Source organism: Homo sapiens, chromosome X (assembly GCF_000001405.40).
Source record: "Homo sapiens chromosome X, GRCh38.p14 Primary Assembly".
NCBI classification, from domain to species: Eukaryota; Metazoa; Chordata; class Mammalia; order Primates; family Hominidae; genus Homo; species Homo sapiens.
This window is the reverse complement of record NC_000023.11, coordinates 88,139,533-88,149,952: the sequence shown is the minus strand read 5'-3', so window position 1 is coordinate 88,149,952 and position 10,420 is coordinate 88,139,533. Positions and strand designations below refer to the sequence as shown.

The 10,420-nt window shown below is 36.2% G+C and overlaps 1 non-coding gene across 1 annotated transcript; it reads right to left on the bottom strand.

Moving 5' to 3' along the window:
* Positions 1–1,034: 1,034 nt before the first annotated feature.
* On the bottom strand, positions 1,035–1,161 carry LOC124900505 (small nucleolar RNA ACA64). The gene has a single exon (XR_007068447.1). It is a non-coding gene; the product is annotated as a small nucleolar RNA ACA64 (small nucleolar RNA).
* Between the last annotated feature and the right edge of the window lie 9,259 nt (positions 1,162–10,420).

Sequence of the window (10,420 nt, the reverse complement as noted above, 5' to 3'; positions counted from 1 at the left end):
AGCTTAGGAACCATCCCCAAGATCTATAGAACTGTAGATCCACTGGTATGCAACTCCAGCCCGGGAGAATTACAGGCCATGGGCAGTAAGCCATGAGAGCTGCATAGGCCTCACTGAGCAAAGCCATGGGTGTGGGGTCCTCTGGAGCCCTGGGAACACAACCACTGCCACAGTGCATCTGGAAGGTGAGGCTAGGAGTCAGAATTATTTTCAAGCATCTAGATTTGAAATTGTCTTACTAGGATTTGGACTTACTTGGAACCTATTATTCCTTTCTTTGTTCCTATTGCTTCCTTTTAGAATGGAAATGGCTGTCCTACGCTTGTCTCGAAATTGTATTTCAGAAGCACATAACCTCTTTGATTTCACATGCTCACAGCTGGAGAGTAATTTTCCTTAGAATGAATGACACAGTGAGTCTCACTTGTATCTGAATAGATAATAATTAGATGAGACTTTGGATTTTAAACTTTAAAGTTGATGTTAAAACAAGTTAAGAATCTTGAGGCTATTGAGATGGAAAAAATATGCTTTGTATATGAGAAAAACATGCATTTGGGTAGGGGCACAGGGACAGAATACTATTGTTTGAATATTTCTTTACCTTCCAAAATTTATGTTGAAACTTAATTCTCAATGCAACAATATTAAGAGATAGGGCTTTTAAAAGGTGATTAAGTCATGAGGGCTCCTGCCTTGTGAATGGGATTAACACTATATTGTATCTTTATTAGTGGTGCACATTTTTTTGCTTTGTTAAGGTAAATTAAGAGAAAAGCCCCCAATGTTCAAATTGAATTGGAAATATTAATATAAAGTCATTATTAGTGCTTGGATTTGAATTGCACAAAAAGCTTTATTTGAAAGATGGGGACAACCAAGTGGCTTATCTCTAAGGTCCTAGAGGCATGGGCATCAGGCTCAGGGCAACTGGGTGTCCTAGGGACAGGAGACACGGTTAGGGATCCCAAGCCAGAAGTCAGACCACACAATCTGCTGCATCGGAGCAGGACATCTGGGCCAGGGTCCACAGTGCCTGTCAGAGCCTGGGTTTTACCCATGATATTGAGACAGTGGGTGGTGAGCTAAGGCTACTGGTGGCTGTAGGTGCTGAATTTCATCCACAGCCACAATCAAAGCCAAGGGTTATTCACAACCAACACTGGACAACGTTTAAATACACTGAAAGATCTAACAAAAATCAAGTGATGATGGTCCACTAGCAGTGAGCTCAGCTAGCACCTAGCATATTTCTAAATATTATTTCTCACTCAAAAGAAGAGGGCTTGTAACAGTACATTATTCCAGAGTCTAAAACATCTTATGATGGCAGTAGCCAAGAATGTACTCAAAGACTAAATGTGTCAAGTCAAAATGACCAAGAAACTGTCTTAAAAGGACTCCAAATTTGAAAAAAGAAAGCATCAGAAAGAATAGTTATCATTTTTGCCTTTAAAATACTAAATAAAGATTCATAATTTTGTAATGATAGTCAATGACACAGAGAGATAATTTTGCCACTATTGAAGGTAACTATTAGATGTCAATTTATTACTCTGAAATCAAGAAAGGGAAAATGCATTTACTCTGCCAAAGTTCTTCACCGGGTGATGAAGGAACACTCTTCTTCACAGAAGAGCTAATTATTAAAGAAGAAAAAAAATAGAGTTAGAAAAAATCACCGTTTTGCAATGTTCAATGAAATAACTCATATGAAAATCATCAATAGACACTAAAATGATTAGTAAAATATTTGGGGAGAATGGGATATTCACATAATCCCAAAGTGTCAACTCTCAGATTATTTGCTAATTGTCAATAAAAAGTATATCTTAACAGTGGAGACAACTGGCAGTCATTACCTTAACAAGGGAATAAAAACAAGCATCACTAATAAAGATACAATAGTGTTGTGTGGCTGTGTTGTTATATGATGAAATGCTGAGTATACCACATCATGTATAAATTATTCTCACCAAAACTGTTTAACTTAAATCTAACAAAGCATTTCATCTCAATTTTCAGGAAATCCTGGGGATAAACAAATTAAACAATACCGCATGACCAAAAATAACTGAGCATATTGTATTAGTCTGGGCCCATTCAAAAGACAGAAACCATGCAGTAAATCTAGATTGTAAATTTAATGTAAATAATTGTTGAGCTATTAATGAAAAATCATTTTAAAGATAAAAGGAGATCTCTAAGAGATACTCTAGATTTGAAGGAGAGTACCCAAAACAGGGCATCCCTGGAAGTGGGGGTGTCCTTCTCAGGCCTGGCATTGAGACCTTGTTGCGGAAGCTGTAGTTGTAGCTTTCTGCTAGTGGAGAAGGAAGAAGTTGGTCTACAGTCAATAGGAAAGAAGGAAATAACTCCACAGGTGAAGGGGAATGGGGGTTAGTGGGCTGGCTCACAGAGGGAGTTAAGCCATTGCTGAGAGTCTAAGGCCTAGAGTGTGCAATGTCTTCAGAGAAAGGGCAGTGACAAAGTGGTCATCAGGCCTGAGGCAGGGCTGTGAAGTTGCTGAGGAGCTGTACACACTGGGCATGTGGATGGGGCAGGGAACCACCAGATGTTTTCAAATATGTCTTCACATCTCTGAACAACCATGCAGGAGTAGTAATAATAATAATAAAAAAAAACAAAAACAAAAATGCAGCACACTTGAAAAGAGAGAAGCCACCTTCCTCCTGTCATATCCCTCCAGCATCCTCTATTGACAATGCTGAAAATCAGGTTCATTGTAAAAGAAAATGCTATCTAGTCCATTATCTCAGAGCAGATACTAAAGTTGAATTTGGATTTGAAAGTCAATAAACTGGTAACTGGCACATACACGAATCCAGAATGAGGAACATACTGCAACTGGCCTGGCCTTTTCAATGTGTCCCAGTCATAGTAATAATAAAAAGCAAGATGAGGGGCTATTCTAAATTGAAAATAGAATAAAATGACATGACAAATTCATATATGAACTTATATTGGATTCTGATTTAAAAAGTAGAATTACAGAAGACAGTTGGGGAAATTTCAGTAATACCACGGCATTAAATAATATCATGAAATTGCTAATTTCTTTATGTGTGATAATGGTGTTGTATGTAGTTAGGAAAATGTCCTTGCTAAATTATTTAGAATTGAAGTGTCATGACTATTGTAATTTAGTTTTAAATGACTCAGCAAAATATAAATGTGGCATGTGTTTGCTGTATAAGTTGATAGATAAAGTGAACATTGCAAAGTCTTAGCAATTATGGAAACTAGGTGGTAAACACCTATTGTTTCTTGTACAATTTTTTTCAAATTTTGATGTGTTTGAAAATTTTAAAAATATAATGTTGGAAAAATAAAAGACAACATAGTATTTTTAAATGAAATAGTGCTTGCAACTGACATTTTTGCAGAGAGCTGGCCCCTCACAATATCTCCCTCACCCCTTTCTCTAGGAACAATTCTCAAATATACAATGCTAGGACCCAACCAAAGCTGGGAATGTGGAATTTTGCATTAACAAGTACAGAGAATGTGGATCACTCCACTCAGTCATATTATTCACAGAGCCCTCTGTCTCCCAAACGAGTTCAAGACTTCTGCTGCTGGTCTCCAGAGCTTCCCCGATTCCTACCTTCTTAAAAAGTCTTGGTTGGTTACCTTTACCTTGGATTTTCCCAAGCATTTTGAAATGTCCCCCAAAATGCTTTCATTAAATTCTCTTTTACATTTGCTAGACTAAGTAAAGTCCATTTTTATTACTTGATGCCACAAAAAAATACAGTAATATGGAACGGTTTAGTAGAATAAAGCCAAGGTTTTCCACCTAGTAAAACATAGATACATATCGTGGCTGGAGAACATATTTGTGGTTTTTATAGAAAAAATAATGATTTACTAATTTATAAATTTATGTCTGTTTCTTTTTTCTCTTAGGCCTTAAAACTTGAGTTCTCCTGCAACGTCAGTCCTTAGTGCTTATCAATAAAATGTAACATTTGCAAACAAAGCACAGGTCTCTTTTAAGCCTTAAGAATATAACTCTTCATATACACAAAACATTTAATCCTTCATATAAAATGTAAAAAAGTCTGATTTGTGCACTTGCTAATTACTTTTCTGCTACAAATATCAGCTTCAGTTTAATCTTTAGCTATAATATATGTCTCTATTTACATTTTGATGTCCTCCCATCTGTGTGTATAGGTGTGACTGAAAAGACTAATGCCAGAAAAATAATCTTTTTCACACACTGTATATACAAAGACAGTCATTGGGAATCATGTCTGCAGTTATTGAAAAAGTCTGCTTTCCTTTTTCCTTTATGTCTGAAATTCTTGCTTGGTCTGAAATCCTTATTAACAAAAATATATTCCATTCTTTAAAGTCACACTCCAGATATAGTTCAGTGGTTCATTTATTTCACAGATGCTTACAGTGGTACTTTGTTGCTCAAAATATATGTCTATATTTTTACAGAAGGTTGGTGGGGTTAAAAAAAAAAGTTGGAGACAAAGAGACCTGGTTTCAAACCTCAGTTGTGCTACTTACTGTGTGACCTTGGAAAATTCACACCTGTTCTGCCTTTGCTGTTTCCTTATGTGTACAATAGGAAAAGCAATGCATTCTTCTCAGGGTTGCAGGGTTGCCATGAAGTTTAATAGAATGTATGTAAAGCACCTGACCCAGATATTATATGTATGTTGCTATACATATATGACTCTGTGTAGCAGTATCTGTTGACTTGTCTTACAAATCCAACACACCCAAGGGTTATACATAGTAATAATGCTCCAAAACAGCAGTGATATACATTTGAATTGGATATACTATCTTCCCTAGACAGGTTTATCATGATCATGAAGATTGCATAGTTTGAAAAAATCCTCTCTACTTCTGATATTTTTCCTCCCTTCTTTACTCTAACAACTTTGGAAGATACTGACAATAATAATAGCTAACACACACATGGTATCGCCAATGTGTAGGAACCTCTTCTAAGTATATTACATAACTTATTTAATTCTCTCAATAACTCTTTGAGGTAGGTGGACTTTATTTTCATTTTACATAAAAGGAATGTAAGGCTCAGAGAAGTAACTACTGTATAGACAAAGCTTGTAAAAGACAGAACCAAAATTTAAAACCAGGCATGAAATCAGAATCCATGCTGTAAGTTGCTTTATAAAACCAAATGAAATTTGTATAGATTGAATAATATAATGTGACATTATAGGCTGTTTCTGTTCCTGTATGTATTTACTAATAAGTGAGTTATAAGCCTCTGAAATACAGGTTAATAATAGAAGTCTGTTCTCAATTATAACACCAGCTTGAGGTTAGAGCAGAGTACTGTAATAATACTGAAACTCATTACTTTTCCAATTCTTTTTTTCCCTATTTATGTTTAGGGAGCCATAAGTAGAAAATAACAATCACACTCTCCCATCCTCTGAATTATAACCAGATTGTTTTATTGCTCATAACATCAGCATTAACAAGCTTCCCTTGGACTTTTTAGCCTTATGTTAATACTTTCATAGGGAAGACTTAAGATAAGATAATAGAAAAATAGGCACAAACTCGAGCAACTATCTTCTTCTGGCAACAGGCACTGTTAGGCTAACCTCAACACCTGAAGCAGGGTACCAGTGAAAAGGTCTTTGCCCCTGAGCTTAGAAGGAGGTAGGAAAAAAAAATAGTGTGCTCTCCTTAAACTCTCATACCAGAATTTGTCTCCAATGCTTTATGGTAAAGAAACCAGCAAACGTAAAATCGTTCCCTCGGGGGGTGCAGAGAGATTTTTTGAACCCGATTAGGTGGGGAGCTGTGGGACACAGATTGTTCATCATTTTTCAAAAGGACATTTCACTTACAGCCTAAGAAGTGTTAATGAAGCATTCACACTTTTACCAAGTGAAAAAGCAATAGAAAAACAGCTCTTTCAATCTCTCTTCAGAAATGCTCAGCAGTAACACAGACTGCTCCCATGCAATCTTCGCACAGAAGTAGCATTAAAAGATGAAAGAAAAAGTGGACTCTCAAAATAGAAAAAAATATATATATATATAAAGAAAAACACCCACATACCCACACATTCCCCTTACACACACACACACACACACACTCACACACACACATACGTTTTATTTCTTCTTAATCTTGCTTCTGGTGCGTTAATGAATACATCATGAAAGCAGAATTTCTGGAAGATATCTCCTTTAAGAAAGGCATTTTCCAGCGTCTTTGCATGAAATGAATCCATACCACAAAGAAAACAATTAGAGATCAGGCATTCACTTCTCTGTAAACTGTTGTTGATGGAATTGTATGAATGAACAACAAAACCTGTTTTATCAGGCAACTTTCAATAGCTCATATCACCAGTATCAAAGACTTTATATCACAGCATATGCTCCCTTTTTGCATTTATTAGAGGTATTTATGCTGTCTATAAATTATTCATACAAACTGTTACAAGTCACTAAGAGGCAGGAGAGATAGGACAAGCTGCCAAATATTATATTGTCTTGAAAGAGGCCATTTTAAGTAATCATCCTTAGGCATTTTTTGAAATAAGATATTTAGGACTTATTCAAGACATGTGAGACAAATCCTCTGACAAATTGTGAAGCTTATTCTTATTGTTGTCTACTCCTCTGTTTAATCTTTTCATACTCCTTTAGTGGAAAGTTTTTCAGGACCTTTATTTTTGGTACTACATGCATATTAAGAAGGTAGAACAAGAAGACGAAGGGTGTCTTCTACCTTGCAAGAAAACATACAGGCTCATGTATCTGAATAGCTTCCAGATTTTCTGCTTAATATTTGTTATCTGTCCAAAATGACATAGATGGTGGAAATTCCAGGCAGAGCTGTTGGATGGGGGCAGAGTGTCAGACAACTATTCCATAGTTTAAGGAGTGTGGCCCTATATACAGGTATATATACCTACATACCTGTCTCTGCAGGGGCTGCCTTATTACAGATTAAAATGTTATGGATATTGCACAACCCAAATAATCTAATTGACCATCACTTCCTCATTACTCTCTTGTCAGCAAGGACCATTTATTGATGTTGTTGTTTTTTCTGAAAAGATATGCAAAGCTCACTCTTCAGGGAAAAAGAGAGTTGGGAAATATGGAGGCAAGAGTTGACAATTATGCTGTCACATCACCTTAATACCATTTTGTTTGATGTATTCTACAGTGAACCTATTGTCTAGACCACAATAAACAAGTATTTTTAAATGATGCATTGGTTTCGAGTCACACAGATTTGATGAAAGCCTCATGGATAAAACTATCTGCATCACTTAAAATTCTCTCTTGGGTGATTGCTGCTCAGGTATATCATGGAATCAATGTGATATGGGTCAGATGAGCTCTCAGGCACTTTAGTGGAATTCTTCATACTTGTATTTGATGTACTTTCAAAAAGGTTCATTTTAATCCTATGTATATGTAGTTGGAGTGGAAAATGCACAGATTTTCATTTTATAGTTTATAATGGACACACTTTTCCCCCACAACCCTCGGATGCAAGAAATGTCCCACCTCTATACATTTTCGTAAATCAGATTCTATCTTCTATGCTCCAACTTGTTAGAGCACAAAGACGACCAATACCAGTGATGATTTTGACTCTCCCCCTCGGCTAGAGTCTTACAGTGACAAGAAAATTTCCATAAGGTTCCTATGACTTTCATTCCACTTTGATAGCCACTGAAATGCTCATTGTTTAAGTCCTTTTGGTCCATTTTGAAAGACCGTTTGCTTACCCTCCCTCCATGTTTCTTTGGGAAATGGGAAACTTTGTCAAGTCTACTAGGTGAAGTTATCTGTGAGGAACTTGTCACAGATAACCCAAAATACATATCCCTACCCTAGTTTCAACTAAAATATTCCCTCACTATTCACTGCCTCAGGGCAAACCAATTGAACTCCCTTGACTTTCAATAGTAACCTCTCTTCCTTCATCCTGGATTAGCCTCCACCCTATAGTCAAACGCTGGATATTCTTGACACTTTAAACTTCTGTTTTGGGCGCTAAAGAACATACACTATTAAGCACCTCATGAAGCAACCACACAAGATTTAAACTTGCCTACTTTCACAGGACAGAAGAAAAAAAAATCTCTCTCATTCTTTGAAGTCTCCTGAAGCAAAAAGAACAAAATGAAAAAAAAAAAAAATCAACAAATAATCCTGACCTAAATATTTGGTGAGTGTGCAGTCAGTGATTAATGAAGCCAAGTCTGTAGGTTCTATCTTTGGCTGGGCTAATTAGCATTACTGTATTTTAGACACAAATTGTACCTAAAACTGTAAATATTTTGCAAATCTGTGCATCTAGTCACAAGGATTACTGAAGGTAGATGTTTCAGCAGAAACGTCTAACTCGTGAGAAGCATGACATAAAGTTATATGCATCTTTGTATTTTAAGTACCACTTAGCATACAGTATGTGTTTCATAGACATTTGTTCAATTGAACTAAGCTGAATTGAATTAAAATTGATCACCATTAAGTGAAAGTAGTCTGAGCAACAGTCACTTTTAGTCCCTTTACCTAATGTAGGTAATATTACAGAGTTAGAAGTATAGTTTAACAACTAAATAAGAATCTGGTAGCAAAACCTGCATACAAATATTAAAAAAATATTCTGGATTGGCAAAACTTTTCTAAAACAAACAAGAGCTATCTTAAGTTATTTCACTCCTGGAAAAATTCATTTTAAAGATAAATGAGCATTTTCATGTTTGGGAGTTGTTGACTTAAACCATGATGCTTGAAACATGAGGCTTGAATGAAAAGAGTTCATGTTTTGATTGAGAAGTAGAAATAGAGGTGGGCATGCACTTAATTGGAGAGGACACCTTCCAACCCAGTAGGATTTTAAAAATTGCACTCATCTTCATGACCTCAACATTATTAGAATGCCTTTAACAAGGATTAAATATTTCATTCCACAGTCAGAGTCACTGACTTAATTTCTAATGCCCTGGGAAAGGGAGTAGAGTAATAATTTCACACTATTCGTATTAGTCTGGTTGGGCTGCCACAACAAAATACCATAGACTTACACAGTGTACTTTAAACAACAGAATTTTATTTTCTCACAGTTCTGGAGACTGGAAGTCCAAGGCCAGGGTGCCAGAATGGTCAGCTTCTTGTGAGGACTCTTTTTCTACTCATAGAATGTTATCTTCTTACTAAATTCTCACAGGGCAGGAGGAAAGAATCCTCTGGTGTTTCTTCTTGTAAGGTCACCAATCCCATCATGAGGGCCCCACCTCCTAAAGGCCCCATCTCCAAATATCACCACACAGCTGGTTACGACTTCAACATATAAATTTTGGAGGAACAAAAGCACTCAGTCTATGATACCCTTTTCTGAAAACAGCCTTTGATATTATGCTATAGAAAAAGCAAACCAAGGACCTTTGGCTGGGAAAAGAGAGGTACACCATAGCAAAAGAGAAAATGATCAGAAAATAAGATTAATGGAACAAAAACAAAACCAATCTACTTCAAAATTGTGTGGTCAACCCAAATATTTAAAAAATGTGGCCGGGCGTGGTGGTTCACCCCTGTAATCCCAGCACTTTGGGAGGCTGAGGCGGGCGGATTACCCGAGGTCGGGAGTTCCAGACCAGCCTGACCAACATGGAGAAACTGCGTCTCTACTAAAAATACAAAATTAGCCGGGCGTGGTGGCGCCTGCCTGTAATCCCAGCTACTCGAGAGGCTGATGCAGGAGAATCCCTTGAACCCAGGAGACAGAGGTTGCAGTGAGCTGAGATCACGCCATTGCAATCCACCCTGGGCAACAAGAGTGAAACTCCATCTCAAAAAAAAAAAAAAAAGTTAATTTTGTCAGGATTATTGTTCCAAAATATTATATAAGTGTTAATATATACCTTGAGCTTTCTATCTTACTATATAATCTGACCATATTCCATTTTAAAAGTTCAATATGACATATTCCAAAATGGTACAGAATATTGACATAATTTCTACAGTATTCCAAAATAGTCAGTTGTCTCTCAGAAGTTATTTTGATTGCAATATTGCCTTGTTTTAGACTTTTTACATGGATGTTTTCCACTCACCCCTTGCCATGCCAGAATTTTGTCCTGTTCATGTTTGTATCATGCATAGATAGTATAATATTTGGCAAACACTAGGTATTTTAAAAATAATTATAGGGATGAAAAATAAAAACCTAAATGTCTGTTGTTACTGATAAAATCCTATTTTTTTTGCAACAGGATAACAATTTTGGTTTTCTGTTTTTACCTAGCAAAATACCATTGGTTACTTACTTTTCTAATCTTTTTTGCTATATTTAATTCAAAATTATCTATCAAAATTATTTCAAAGTAAAGAGATAGTGAGGCATTATTTTAAATATAGAATAA